At 40.2% G+C, this 15919-nt stretch overlaps 1 protein-coding gene across 2 annotated transcripts in view; it reads right to left on the bottom strand.

The window, feature by feature from the left end:
* KLF8 (KLF transcription factor 8) overlaps positions 1-15919 on the bottom strand; it is a 383409-nt gene that overhangs the window by 69888 nt on the left and 297602 nt on the right. The gene's annotated exons all lie outside the window — the stretch shown is intronic.

Below are 15919 nucleotides of genomic sequence, written 5' to 3'. Positions count from 1 at the left end.
GTAACACTCACTGCGAAGGTCTACAGCTTCACTCCTGGGCCAGCGAGACCGTGAACCCACCAGAAGGAAGAAACTCCGAACACATTCGAACATCAGAAGGAACAAACTCCTGACACGCTGCCTTTAAGAAGTGTAACACTCACCGCGAGGGTCCGCAGCTTCATTCTTGAAGTCAGTGAGACCAAGAACCCACCAATTCCTGACACAATAGGACATGACATGGATCCTCAGAAATGAACCCTAGAGGTCTGGATAAGGAACTATTATAAACAAGTTTTGCCAAATGAAAATCCTTTTTGCATGTTCATATTTGTCCTTGGCCACTCTGTGTTGGAATAAGGCCAGGGGAGGCGCCTCTAATCATGACCGAAGTAGGAATAAAACAGGAGGCACTTTTCCAAGGTGACCAAAAAAAGCCATTTGCTGTAGAACTATTTTTTAATTTAAAGTTTACTTCAGAACTAGTTCTGATGATTCCAGCCAGTATTATTTTTTCCCATTTTAGAGCTCCAGAAATGCACAGATTTATTTTTTCCATGAAATAATCAATATGGCTTATTATGCTTATGTGCAAGTAAGGAAGTATAATTTAACTTAAATTATTTTGCCGAGAATATAAATTAGTATATTAAAAATGGAAACCCAAAATGTCAGATTCTTTATTCAGATAACTATATAAACTATGACAAAGCACAGAATAAAAACATGAGAATTGTATAATACACATTTGTGAGAGAAACATGAACACATTTGATAAAATAAAAGGCTTATGTGAATAATAGCACTTTTTTTGTGAAAAAGAAGTGCCTCTCAAAGAATTAAGAGTCTATGACAGCACTTAAAACTTCAGTATCTGGGCTGGGCACAGTGGCTCATGCCAGTAATCCCAGCACTTGGGGAGGCTGAGGCGGGCGGATCACTTGAGGTCAGGAGTTCGAGATCAGCCTGGCCAACATGGTGAAACCGGTCTCTACTAAAAATACAAACAGAATTAGCTGGGTGTGGTGGCGCATGCCTGTAGTCCCAACTACTCGGGAGGCTGAGGCAGGAGAATCGCTTGAACCTGGGAGGCGGAGGTTGCAGTGAGCCGAGATAAAGCCATTGCACTCCATCCTGGGCGACAGAGTGAGACTTTTTCTCAAAAAAAAAGAAAAGGAAAGAAAAAAGAAAGAAAAAAACCCACGAAAAACAAAAGCAAACCAACTTCAGTATCTTATGGTTCTCACACTTTAGCATGCATAAGAATTCCTGGGAGTTCTTGATAAAACACAGATTGCAGGGTCCCACCTCCAGAGTTTCTGATAGAGTAGGTCAGGGGTGGAACCCAATAATTTGCATTTGTAACAAATTCCCAGGTGATGCTGATGTTGCTATTCTGAGGACTAATAGCAATGATTGCAATTCTTGGAGTACTAATGGCCTAGGTCTTGCTCTTTAGGGAATAGGAATATATATTCTGTTATTCTATTATTGCTCTACAGGTGTTATAAACCGACAAGTGATCCACAGGAAGTACATTTTGTAGATCTTTAGCGCAAGGAATATTTTCTATCTTTAATTTTTTACATCTCCATTTTATGAAAGCATCTAATAATAATAGCTATCAAATTAGCACTATACATGCATTACTTCATTTACTCCTCAGTACAACGTTGAGATTCCTATTTTACCCTGAATAGGAACTGAGTTATTATCCCTGTTTTATAGCCAAGTACATACCAGATTGTAATCTCTACTGCCCCCCAATGTTCAGAGTTAGTCTCAACCTTTTACCAGTTTTTCTTTTCTTTTTTTGAGACAGTCTGGCTGTGTTGCCCAGGCTGGAGTGCAGTGGCACAATCTCAGCTCACTGCAACCTCTGCCTCCTGGGTTCAAGCGAGTCTCCTGTCTCGGCCTTCCCAGTAGCTGGGATTACAGGCACGTGCCACCATGCCCAGCTAATTTTTGTATTCTTTCAACAGTTCTGAATTGAAGTAGGGGGGCAAGGATGGGAAAAAGTGGGAGAAGGTGAGGACATTGGGGAGAGGATAGGGGTCAGCAGGCATCTTCAGCACTGGTCCCTATCTGAATATTTCTGGACACTAGCCTCGTGATAGCTAAGAAGCACTTTTATTTTCATTTTTTCCATTTATGGAAGTTATTTTTAGTATAGGTCAAGAAACAAGCCTGGCGCTTTAGCAATGGCCCATTCCCAGTTGCTAATATTTAGGGCTCAGAACCTCTTGATTTTAATAGTCTCTATGCCCGCACAGACCCCTCCTGCTGGAGAAACTGTCATAATTGGCCACTAATCATCTGTGTTTAATGATACTCTACTCCTCAGAGAGGCCTCAAAAGAGGTTTCTTTCATGGACTATCACAGATGGGTCCTGAAAAATCACTTGGTCAAGGCCTCAAATTCCCAAAAGTTACTAAATTTAAACTTCGCCTTTATTGCCAAATCACAACATTGAAATAATATTTCTTTTTTTCTGAAAGAATATTTCATCATACAAATTCAAACGTGGAGCCTATGATTGGACTACACGTACTTCTACAGCACATTATGACATTTATATTTATATATAAGAATATTTTTATCATCTTGTAAATAGAATTCTATTATGTGTGCTTGTTAAAAAAATGTTGTTTTGTTTAGTGTGAAAATTTAAAATATGCCACAATTTTGAAGACACTATTTTTGATAATTCATTTAAAAAATATTATGAGAATCTCAACAAAAAGAAGTAACACAAATTCCTTTGACCACTGTGAGGTCTTGGCCTCATGCTGTTAACCTCTTCCCTAAACCAAATGGATTTTTTAATCTCACATCTCTACTTTCTCAAGGTGAGAGCCTAATCTAATCCTCAAAAAGCCTTTTACAGCTATACAAATCTGAGTGGATAGTTTCTGAGAAGGAGATTTGCCCCTTTGGGACCTAGTGTAAAATTAAAAAGTTGAATTTTTCATTGGTTTTTAAACCTTCCTTACTATTTATGACTAGTTACTGTAAAGCAAGATAGCAATTGTATGTATCAGTAAACATGTGTTAGGTTAACTTTTATGTTCTAAGTTTGACTATATCACTAGTACATGATGGGTTCCTTTGACTGTCATAATATATTGCTCAGATGGAATGATGATCTGCTTATAATAAAAGAGAGGAGTTACTGGTTTTAAGAGGAGACTGGTGATATGTTTATTGCCAGTTTTGTACACAGGAAACAGTCAATTTATTTAGGAGTTCCTATCACAGAACATGTTTTGAACCAGCGAAAGGACTGTTTTTATCATACCCCAAGATATATCTGTTACTGAGCAGGACTGTGCTCTCCATCACTCTAACCCGGACCTCTTGGCTCAGCTCCCAGAACTCTAGCCTAAGTATATTACCTCACTATCTCCTGCTTGTAGTAGGGGTGAGTTTACATACTTTATCTGATATTTCAGACATTTATAGAGTTCTAAAATAATTTAATCAAAAACATCAAAGTTCTTTTATCCCTGCCCCTTGGAACAGGTTATCTTTGGATCCTCTTTACACAGATGCAGGCACAGGTACAGGTTTTCCTTTCTGCTGTTGGTATGTAAAACAAGTCAAATGATTCTGCCTCACACTAGTGCTACTGATGCAATGGCTGCTCAGTAGTCGCATCTCTGACCTGACTAGTTTCTGAGATTCTGCAAATTCCATCCCCAGTAGTGATTCCACTCTCACCTGGTCTGCAGCAAGTGACCCCAGCTATCACCAAGGGCCTGAAGCTTGGACCTCTACCCACCACTCGTCCTTCTTCAGGGTAGTGCCCTTACTTTTTGCTATCTATCCACATTCCCAATCCTAATTTACTTCTCCATTTCAGCGTTCTGCCTGTCAAAATATCTGCTTCTGCTCTAACTCTTGAGTTCAACCAATATCTTTAGCCTTTTAAAAGGTACAATTGACAGCCGGGTGCGGTGGCTCACACCTGTAATCCCAGCACTTTGGGAAGCCAAGGCAGGTGGATCACAAGGTCAAGAGATTGAGACCATCCTAACCAACATGGTGAAACCCCGTCTCTACTAAAAATATTTTTTAAAAAATTAGCTGGGTGTTGTGGCATGAGCTTGTAGTCCTAGCTACTCGGGAGGCTGAGGTAGGAGAATCGCTTGAACCCAGGAGGCAGAGGTTGTAGTGACCCAAGATCGCACCACCGCACTCCAGCCTGGTGACAGAGCAAGACTCTGTCTCAGAATAAAATAAATGAATAAATAAATAAATAAATAGTACAATTCAGAATGGCATGGAAGAATCCTGGATTCTACAAATCCAATTAGATGGAACCTGAAGCAATCAGCCTCTAATTTGGTTCTATCAGGAAAACACTACCAATAATGAGCCCTTTTACCATATTGCTGGTTTCTAGTGCATGCTACATATGAAGCATTACCAAGATGTGGCTCACTATTCTTGAGTATGCCTCCAAGATAGGAAGTCAATGAGTACTAATTTTTTCTTAGTTATGCTCTCCAAGTAGGCAGCACATATTTTCACTAACTCTGTAAAACAGTCATGCACATATTCACATTCCTGGCTACCATGGGCCAGGAGAACCAGATTCTGAGCAACATTAAGGCCTTTCCCTCTTAAAATCCAGCTATTTATTAAACAGACAGACATCTGTTTGGCACATACTATATGCTATGAGAGAGATGTGAGCTAGCAGGGGAGATCAAGGAAGGCTTACCTGAGGTTGAATAAAAGCTAGCAAGGGAGATCAAGGAAGGTTTACCTGAGGATGAGTAAAAGCTAACAGGGAGGGAACAGGAAGATGGAACCTCATAAGCAAAGTCCCTGTGGCAGGAGGGACCATACATGTTCAAAAACAGGAGAGGCCAGAAAAATTGGAGGAAAGTGAGCAAGAGGACATGTAGTATAAGTAGCTGGCTGGAGATAAAGGAAGGGGCCACACTATACAGGAGTTTATAGTGATCCTAAAGAGTTTTGTTGGCTTGATGTGGTGGCTCATGCCTGTAATACCAAAACTTTGGGAGGTCAAGGTTGGAGGATCACTTGAAGACAGGAGTTCAAGACCAGTCTGGGCAGCATAACAAGACGATGTTGCTAAAATAAATAAATAAATAAATAAATAAATAAATAAATAAATAAATCAGCAGCCAGATATGGTGGTATGCTCTACTGGAAAAGCTAAGGCAGGAGGATCACTTGAGCACAGGAGTTCAAGGTTACTGTGAGCTATGATCATGCAGCACTCCAAGCTGGGTGACAGAAAGAGACCTCTAAAATAAATAAATTAATTAAAACAAAGAGCTTTGTTGAGGAGCCACTTAACATTTTAAGCAGAGAAGCAACATGATAAGACATGCATTTTGAAAACATATTTTTGGTTGCATCATAGAGAACTGATTGGAAGGGGATGTGGCAAATTAGGGGAGACCAATTAGGAGGCTGGTGCAGGACTTCAGCAATAAAGGATTACAACTTACACTAGGTAGGGGAAGTGAAGATGAAGAGAAGTAGGCTGATTTTAGATAAGTATAGGAGGTCCAATCCACAAAGTTAGGGAACAGATTGAATACTGAAGGTGAGGGAGAGGGAAGTGTCTAAGATGATTCTTAGAATTCTAACTTGAGCAACTGGATGAATAGTGGTGTCGTTCACCGAGAAACAATTAAAAAAAACATGTTTGGGGAGGGAATATTATAAATTTGGTTTTGGATGACTTGAGTTTAAGGTGCCTTATAGGCAAGGCCAAGTAAACAATTGGATATGTGGATTTCTTTCTTTTTCTTTTCTTTTCTTTTTTTTTTTTTTTTTTTTTTTTTTTTTTTTTTTTTTTTTGAGACAGAGTCTCACCCTGTCTCCTAGGCTGGAGTGCAGTGGCATGATCTTAGCTCACTGGAACCTCCACCTCCTGGGTTCAAGCAATTATCCTGCCTCAGCCTCCTGAGTAGCTTGGATTAAAGCTGCTGGCCATCACACCTGGCTAATTTTTGTATTTTTAGTAGATACAGGGTTTCACCATGTTGGCCAGGCTGGTCTTGAACTCCTGACCTCAAGTGATCCACCTGCCTCGGCCTCCCAAAGTGTTGGGATTACAGACATGAGCCACCGCACCCAGCCAGCAATTGGATATGTGAATTTCTGAGAAGCTGTATGCTCACTATGGAGGACCTAAACCTCATAGAGCACCAATTGCTTCTGGAGACCTCAAGTCTTGTTTTACTCTATATAAACACACTTTTCTGAGCCTCGACTTGGGCCTCTCTTCCAAAAGTATTTTAGAATGAAATGAGACTTATTTAGTTTGGAGCCAAGCATTGTTTTATCTTTTGTCCAAGAAACTCTCCTGAATCCTCCATCTAATTCTTATTGAATTAATTAGCCATCTCTACAATAGTGATGACTGGCTCATTTAATATACAGATCACCAATGCAACAGTGGTAGTTTCAAGCTGTCACTTACATTCCCTTAATAACAACAAGGGCAGCACTTAATATGAGATGCTTAATTGAGCACTTAATTGAGCACTTAATATGAGATGCGTCTTATTTGGTAAGCTCTAGGAGATTCCAAATAAATTAAGACCTGGCCACTGTCTGCAAAAGACTCATAGTCTACTGATCAACTTGGCCGCTTACCTCTGTCTCATAGTACATAATTTAGCAATAGTTTTCTAAATTGGAAGGATAATGACATGTGCTGAGCATAACACCTGTTATGTGTCAAATATAAAATGGGTTATAAGGTTCAAGATATGTTTATGCAAGGAAGGCAGTATGAGGTAGTGGTTAATAGTTTAGACTTTGGAGTTGGACTGCCTGGATTCCAATCCTGGCTCTGTGATGCTGAGTAAATTTTTTAACCACTCTGTGTTTTGGTCTTTTCCCTTGTAAAGTGAGGCTACTTGCAGTACTTATGTGTATTAGTTTGCTAGGGCTAACATAACAAAGTACCACAACTGATTGGCTTAAACAACAGACATTTATTGTCTCATGTTTGAAAGGTTATTGGCCATCTTCTTCTTATATTTATTCGCATCATCTCTTTAAGCATGTATCTGTGTCCAAACTTCCCCTTTTCATAAGGATACCAGTCATGTTGGATTGACTGAGGTCATTCATCCACCCTCATCACCTTGTTTTAACTTAATTACATCTGTGATAGCCCTATTTCAAAATAAGGTCACATTCTGAAATACTGGGCATTAGGACTTTATCATATGAATTTGAGGCAGGGGTGTGACACAAATCAGTTCATAACATTATGTCATATAATTGCTGTGAAGTTTTAAAGAGATAATCCACAAAGTACTTAAAACAGTGATAGGGACAGGAGGCAGAGAAATTCTAGGCAGAAAAAGCTGGGGTCCCTGGCAAGGGCCCCACCCTCAAGCCTGGAAGATCAGCCCAAACTGAGAACTTTATTATCCCCATTTTCCCACTCAAATGTTGCCTTTTCCAAAACCACATCTGGCCCCCCTCACCCCCCATCCTATACCCATAAAAACTCCAGGCTTCACTGGCAAAGAGCAGAGAAGGGGAGAAGAGAAGAAGCAACTGAACATCAAGGAGAAGCAGTTTGACTTCAGAGGGACGGCTTTATGGCAGGACTTCAGAGAAGAGTCCAGCTGGAGATGGCTGAACTTCAGGGGAAGCATACCTTCCTGCTCCATCCCCTTTCTAGCTCCCCTTCCTGCCAAGAGCCACTTCCATCAGCAATAAAATCCCCTGAATTTACTATCCTTCAATTCGTTTGTGTGACCTGATTTTTCCTGGATGCCAGGCAAAAGTTTAGGATACAGAAGCCTGTCACACTGATCCTGTGCCCTTGTGAAAAGGCAGAGGGTCCACTGAGCCATTAAACATTTAAGCCATCTGCAGATGGCAAAGCTAAAAGAGTGCTGACTGTAACACTCCTTCTGGGGCTTCTGGGGTGACAAGTACCCCCCACCAGATGTTGTCTTAATATTAACTACTAAGCTGTATGTTACCTAATTTAATGCTTACATCTATGACCCATATGAAATAGGTCATTTTAGGCCAGTTGTGGTGGCTCATGCCTGTTATCCCAGCACTTTGAGAGGCCAAGGCGGGTGGATTACCTGAGGTCAGGAGTTAGAGACCAGCCTGGTCAACATGGTGAAACCCTGTCTCTACTAAATATACAAAAAATTAGTCAGACGTGGTGGTGGGTGCCTGTAATCCCAGCTATTCAGGAGCCTGAGGCAGGAGAATTGCTTGAACCTGGGAGGCAGAGGTTGCAGTGAGCTGAGATGACACCATTGCACTCCAACCTGGGCAACAAGAGTGAAACTGTCTCAAAAAAAAAAAAAAAAAAAAAAAAAAGAAAAGAAAAGAAAAGAAAAGAAAAGAAAAGAAAACAAAAGAAAAAGAAATAGGTCATTTTAAAAGATGAGAACAGGAGACTCAAAGTCACACAACTAGTAATGGTAGAGTTACTATTCCAATATAGCTCTGATTAATCCCAGAGCTGATGCATGTTTCACTATACCATAAAGCATCACCAGGTGACATAAACCATCACCAGGTGATTAGTAACTAGGTCACTGTCTATTTGAAACTGACTGCCAAATAAATATTTTCAGATATGGTCAATTATTTCATGCATCAGTGCCAGGATCTTACTGTCTTCAGGACTCTGATTAGCAAAAGCATTGGCCACATATATCCTTTACCAATCTAATATAACACCACCTCCAGGCTGCCTAGGCTAACAACAATGTCTTTAAGAACAAAAGACCTACTCATGCTGAGAGGTGGAGCAAGATGGCAGAATAGAAAAATCCACTAATCGTCTCTCCTCTCCCTGCAAGGACACCAAGTTAACTATCTACACACAAAAAAACACCATCATATGGAGCAAAAATCAAGTGAGCACTCATAGTACCTGGTTTTAACTTCATATCCTTGAAAGAAACACTGAAGAGATAGAAAAAACAGCCCTGAGTTGCCAGTGCCACACCTCCCTGAATACACAGCAGTGGTGGCCTCTGGGCATTGGGAGAAGGGAAACAGCAATTTGAGGCATTGAACTCAGTGGGATCCTGTTAGAGCAGAAATAAAAACCAGACCAAACTCAGCTGACACCCATACACAGGAGGAGCATTTAAACCAGCCCTAGCCAGAGAATTGCGAATCACAGCAGTTCAAACATGAGTTCCCACAAACCTCATCACTGAGGGCCAAAGTGCTCTAGGTTTCTAAGTAAACTTGAAAGGCCATCCAGGCCATAAGGACTGCAACACTTACGTGAATCCTAGAGTTAAACTAAGCCTAGAGACAGTGGATTGTGGGGGCACAAGACATATTGAAACATCAGCTGGGACAGCCAAGGGAGTGTAAGCATCACCCTACCTGAAACACCAGGCTACACAGTTCTGAGCTACAAAAGAAACCCCTTCCTTTCAATTGAGGAGAGGAGAGAGAAGAGTGGAGTGGACTTTGTCTTGCATCTAGGGTACCAGCTTAGCCACAGCAAGATAGGACTCTGGTCAGAGTTGTGACACCCCCATTCCAGGCCCTAGACCCCAGACAACATTTGTAGACACATCGTGGGCCAGAAGACAACCCATTGCCTTGAAGAAAAGGACCCAGGCCTAGCAGCATTTATCACTTGCTAAATGAAGTACCCTTGGGCCCTGAATGACCAGCAGCAATACCCAGGTACTACACTGAAGGCCTTGGGTGAGCCGCTGAGATTTGCTAGATTCAGGTGAGATTCAGCACATTACCAGCTGTGGTGGCCTCAGGGCAAAACTCCTTCTGCTTGAGAAAAGCAAAGGGGACCTTGTCTTGTACCTCAGGTACCAGCATGGCCACAGACAGACAGAGCACCAGGTGGGCTCTAGGATCTTTTGCCTTTGGAAAGGGAAGGAAAGACTGGGAAGGACTGCATCTTGTGGTTTGAGTGCAAGCTTAGCCGGAAACCAAAAGAACACAAGGTAGAATTCAAAGGTTTTTTACTCTAGCCCCTGACTCCTTAACGGAACTTCTGGATCAACCCGGGGCCTGGGGACCTCATTGCCCTGCAGGAAAGGACACAGGCCTGGCTGGCTTTGCAACCTGCTAACTGTAGAGCCCTAGGGCCTTGAGCAAACTTAGACAGTAGCCACGGAGTGGTTACAGCAGGCCTTGGGCAAGACCCAGTGCTGTAGTAGCTTGAGGTGTGACCCAGTATATTCATAGTGGTGGTAGTCACAGAGGTTCTTGTGTCACTCCACTCCCAGCTTTAGATGGCTCAGAAGAGACAGAGAGACTCTGTATGTTTGGGAGAAAGTAAGGGAAGAGAATAAGAGTCTTTGCCTGGTAACCCATAGAATTCTTCTGGATCTTGTCCAAGACCATAAAGGCTTACCTCTACAAGTCTACAAGATTCACAGTGTTACTGGGCCTGGGGTGCCCCCTAAAGCAGACAGAGCTTAGATTACAACATCCAAGTCTTTTCAAATATATGGAAAGCCTTCCCAAATAGGACGGCGACAAATAAGTACAGACAGTGGAGACTACAATAAATACCTAACTCTTCAATGCACAGACAATGAAGAACATCTACTAGCATCTACACCAGATAGGAAAACATAACTTCTCCAAATGAACTAAATGGCCAATCCTGGAGAAACAGAGATATGCGACCTTTCAGACAGAGAATTCAAAATAGCTGTGTTGAGGAAACTCAAGGAAATTCAAGATACCACAGAGAAGGATTTCATAATTCTGTCAGAAAAATTTACCAAACAGATGGAAATAATTAAAAATAATCAAGCAGAAATTCTGGAGCTGAAAAATGCAATTGGCATGCTGAAGAATGCATCAGAGTCTTTTAATTGCAAAATTCATCAAGCAGAAGAAAGAATTAGTGAACTTGAAGTCAGACTATTTGAAAATATACAGAGGAGATAAAAGTAAAAAAAAAATTTAAAAATGAAACATGCCTCAGGATCTAAAAAATAGTGTCAAAAGGGCAAATCTAAGAGTAACTGGCCTTAAAGAAGAGGTAGAGAAAGAGATAGGGGTAGAAAGTTTATTCAAAGGGATAACAGAGAACTTCCTAAACCTAGAGAAAGATCTCAATATCCAAGTATAAGTAGGTTATAGAACACCAAGCAGATTTAACTCAAAGAAGACTACCTCAAGGCATTTAAAAATCAAACTCCCAAAAGTTAAGGATAACGAAAGAATCATAAAAGCAGCAAGGTAAGATAAACAAACGACATATAATAGAGCTCCAATTCCTCTGGCAGAAGACTTTTCAGTGGAAACCTTAAAGGCCAGGAGAGAGTGGCATGAAATATTTAAGGTGCTAAAGAAAAATAAACTTATCCCAGAATAGCATATCTAGTGAAAGTATCTTTCAGACACGAAGAAAAAATAAATACTTTCCTAGAAACAGCTGAAAAATTTCATGAATACCAGACCTGTCCTGCAAGAAATGCTAGAAAGCATTTCAATCAAAAAGGAAAGGACATTAATGAGCAATAAATAATCACTTGAAGGTACAAAACTCACTGGTAATAGTAGATACACAGAAAAACATAGAGTATTATAACACTGTAAGTGTGGTGTGCAAACTACTTTTACCTTAAGTAGAAAGAATAAACAATGAACCAATAAAAAATAAAAACTACAACAACTTTTCAAGACATAGTCATTGAATAAGTTACAAATAGAAACTATAAAAAATTAAAAAGCAGGAGGACAAACTTAAAAAGTACAGTTTTTGTTAGTTTTATTTATGCTTGTTTGTTTGTTTATGGAAACAGTGTTAAACTGTTATTGGGTTAAAATAATAGATTATAAGATAGTATTTGCAAGCCTCATGGTAACCACAAACCAAACAATATACAATGAATCACAAAAAAGCAATAAACAAAATCATATAACCAGAGAAAATCACATTCACTAGATAAAGACAGAAAGGAAAGAAAGAAGGTAGAGAAGACAACAAAAACAAAAACAAAACAGAAAACACATAATAAAATAGCAAAGTAAGTCCTTATTTACTTATTTATGTTTTTCTTTTTGGAGATGGAATCTCCCTCTGTCACCCAGGCTGGAGTGCAGCTGACTCATCACAACCTCTGCCTCATGGGTTCAAGCAATTATCCTGCCTCAGTCTCCCGAGGAGCTGGGATTACAGGCACTCACCACCATGACTGGCTAAAGTCCTTATTTGTGAATAATGACATTGAATGTAAATGGACTAAACTCTCCAATCAAAAGACACACTGGCTCAATGAATGAAAAAACGAGACCCATGGATCTCTTGACTACAAGAAACACACATCATCTGTAAAGACACACAGAGACTGAAAATGAAAAAATACCAAAAGATATTCCATGTCAATGGAAACCAAAAAAAGAGCAGGAGTAACTATATTAATATCAGACAAAATAGATTTCAAGACAAAAACTATAAGAAGAGATAAAGAATGTAAGTATATAATGATAAAGGGGTCAATTCAGCAAGAAGATATAACAATTTTAAATACATTTGCACCCAACACGACAGCAAACAGATATATAAAGGAAATATTAGAGCTAAAGAGAAAGACCCCAATGCAATCATAGCTGGAGACTTCAACACTCCCCTTTCAGGATTGGCCAGATCTTCTAGACGGAAAATCAACAAGGAAACAGCAGACTTAATCTGCACTGTAGACCACATGGATTTAATAGATATTTACAGAATATTTTATTCAAGAGCTGCAGAATAAACATTTTTATTCTTTAGCACGTGGAAAATTCTCAAGGATAGACCATATGTTAGATCACATGCAAGTCTTAAAAATTTTTTTAAAAATTAAAATAATATCAAGTATTTTCTCTGAACACAATGGAATGAATGTAGAAATTATTGAAAAGAGGAAGTTTGGAACTGTGCAACTACATGGAAATTAAAAAATATGCTCTTCAATGATCAGTGAATCAATGAAAAATTTAAAATTGAAAAATTTCTTAGAACAAATGATAATGGAAACACAACATACCAAAACCTATGGGATACAGCAAAAGCAGTATAATAGGGAAGTTTACAGCTATAAGTGCTCACATGAAAAAACAAGAAAATCTTCAAATAAACAATCTAATAATGGATCTTAAATAACTAGAAAAGCAAGAGCAAACCAAACCAGAACTTAGTAGAAAAAAAATAAGGATTAGAGCAGAAATAAATCAAATTAAAATTAAAGCATAAAAAAGCAGTGAAACAAAAAGTTAGCTTTTTAAAAAGTTAAACAAAATTGACAAACCTTTAGCCAGATGAGGAAAAAAAGAAATAAGACCCAAATAAATAAAATCAGAAATGAAAAAGGAGACATTAGAACTGATACTGCAGAAATTCTAAGGATCATTAGTGGCTATTATGAGCAAATATATGCCAATAAATTGGAGAGTCTGGAAGAAATGGACAAATTCCTAGACACATACAAACTACCAAGATTGAACCATAAATAAATCTGATATGGTTTAGCTGTGTCTTCACTCAAATCTCACTTTGAATTGTAATAATCCCCATGTGTCAAGGGCAGGACTATGTGGATATAATTGAATCATGGGGCCAGTTTCCCCCATACTGTTCTTGTGATAGTGAATAATACGCCTAAGATCTGATGGTTTTATAAATGGGAGTTCCACTGTACAAGCTCTCTTGCCTACCACGATGTAAGACGTGACTTTGCTCCTCATTCACCTTCTGCCATGATTGTGAGGCTTCCCCAGCCATGTGGAACTGTGAGTCAATTAAACTTCTTTTCTTTATAAATTACCCAGTCTTGGGTATGTCTTTGTAAGCAGCATGAGAACAGACTAATACAGTAAACTGGTATTGGTAGAGTGGGGTGTGGCTGTAAAGATACCCAAAAATGTGGAAGCAACTTTCGAACTGGGTAACAAGCAGAGGTGGCAACAGCTTGGAGGAATCAGAAGAAGACAGCAAAATGTGGGAAAGTTTGAAACTTCCTAGAGACTTGTTAAATGGCTTTGACCAAAATGCTGATAGTGATATGGGCAATAAAGTCCAAGCCCAGTTGGTCTCAGATGGATATGAGAACTAGAGCAAAGGTGACTCTTGTTATGCTTTAGCAAAGAGACTGGTGGCATTTTCCCCCTGTCCTAGAGATCTGTGGAACTTTGAAATTGAGAAAGATGATATAGGGCATCTGGTAGTAGAAATTTCTAAGCAGCAAAGTGTTCAAGATGCGACTTCAGTACTGTTAAAAGCATTAAGTTTTATGTATTCACAAAGATATGGTTTGCAATTGGAACTTATGTTTAAAAGGGAAGCAGAGCATAAAATTTTGAAAAATTTGCAGCCTGATGATGCAATAAAAAAGAAAAACCCATTTTCTGAGGAGAAATTCAAGCCAGCTGCAGAAATTTGCACAAGTAACAAGAAACCAAATGTTAATTGCCAATACAATGGGGAAAATGTCTCCAGGGCATGTCAGAGGTCTTCACAGCAGCCCCTCCCATCACAGGCCTGGAGGCCTAAAAGGAAAAAAATAATATCATGGGCTGGGCCCAGGGCCTTGCTGCTTTGTGCAGTCTCGGGACTTGATGCATTGTGTCCCAGCCATGGCTAGAAGGGGCCAACATCTATGTTGAGCTCTAGCTCAGGATGTTGCCTCAGAGGGTTCAAGCCCCAAGCCTTGGCAGCTTCCATGTGGTTTTGGGCCGGTGGGTGCACAGAAATCAAGAACTGACATTTGGGAACCTCTGCCTAGATTTAAGAGGATGTATGGAAATGCTTGGATGTCCAGGCAGAAGTTTGCTGCAGGGGTAGAGCCCTCATGTAACTCTGCTAGGGCAGTGTGGAAGGGAAATGTGGGGTTGGGGCCCCACACAGAGTCCCATCTGGAGCACTGCCTAGTGGAGCTATGACAAGAGGGCCACCGTCCTCCAGACATCAGAATGGTAGATTCACCAACATCTTGCACAATGCACCTGGAAAAGCTACAGGCACAACACCAGTCCATGAAAGCAGCCAGGAGGGAGGCTGTACCCTAAGAAGCCACAGTGGCAGGGATGCCCAAGGCCATGAGAGTCCACCTCTTGCATCAGCATAACCTGGATGTGAGACATGGAATCAAAGGAGATCATTTTGGAGCTTTAACATTTGACTGCCCCATTGGATTTTGGACTTTCATGAGGTCTGTAGCCCATTTGTTTTGGCAAATTTCTCCCATTTTGAATAGGTTTATTTATCCAATGCCCGTACTCCCATTGTATCTAGGAAGTAACTAACTAGCTTTTGATTTTACAGGCTCATAGGTGGAAGGGACTTGCCTTGTCTCAGATAAGACCTTGGACTGTGGACTTTTGAGTTAACACTAAAATGATTTAAGATTTTGGGGGACTGTTGTGAAGGCATGACTGATTTTGAAATATGAGGACATGAGATGTGAAAGGAACCAGGGGTGGGATGGTATGGTTTGGCTGTGTCCCCACCCAAATCTCACCTCGAATTGTAATAATCCCCATGTGTCAAGGGAAGGGCTAGGTGGAGATAATTGAATCATAGGGGTGGTTTCCCCTACACTGTTCTCATGGTAGTAAATAAGTCTCATGAGATCTGATGGTTTTATAAGTGGGAGTTCCCCTGCACAAGCTCACTTGCCTGCTGTTATGTAAGACGTGACTTTGCTCCTCATTAGCCTTCCACCATGATTGTGAGGTCTCCCCAGCCATGTGGAACTGTGAGTCAATTAAACCTCTTTCCTTTATAAGTTATCCAGTCTTGGGTATGTCTTTATTAGCAGCCTGAAAACAGACTAATACAAAATCCAAAACACAAACAGATGAATAATAAGTCATGAGATGGAAGCTGTATTAAAAAGTCTCCCAGTAAAGAAAATCCTGGGACCCAGTGGCTTCACTGGTGAATTCCACCAAACATTTAAAGAAGATCTAACACCAATC

The sequence above is a fragment of the Homo sapiens genome, chromosome X (assembly GCF_000001405.40).
Source record: "Homo sapiens chromosome X, GRCh38.p14 Primary Assembly".
In the NCBI taxonomy this organism is placed as follows: Eukaryota; Metazoa; Chordata; class Mammalia; order Primates; family Hominidae; genus Homo; species Homo sapiens.
Note: the sequence above shows the minus strand (reverse complement) of the source record. Positions and strands in the feature narration are given on the sequence as shown.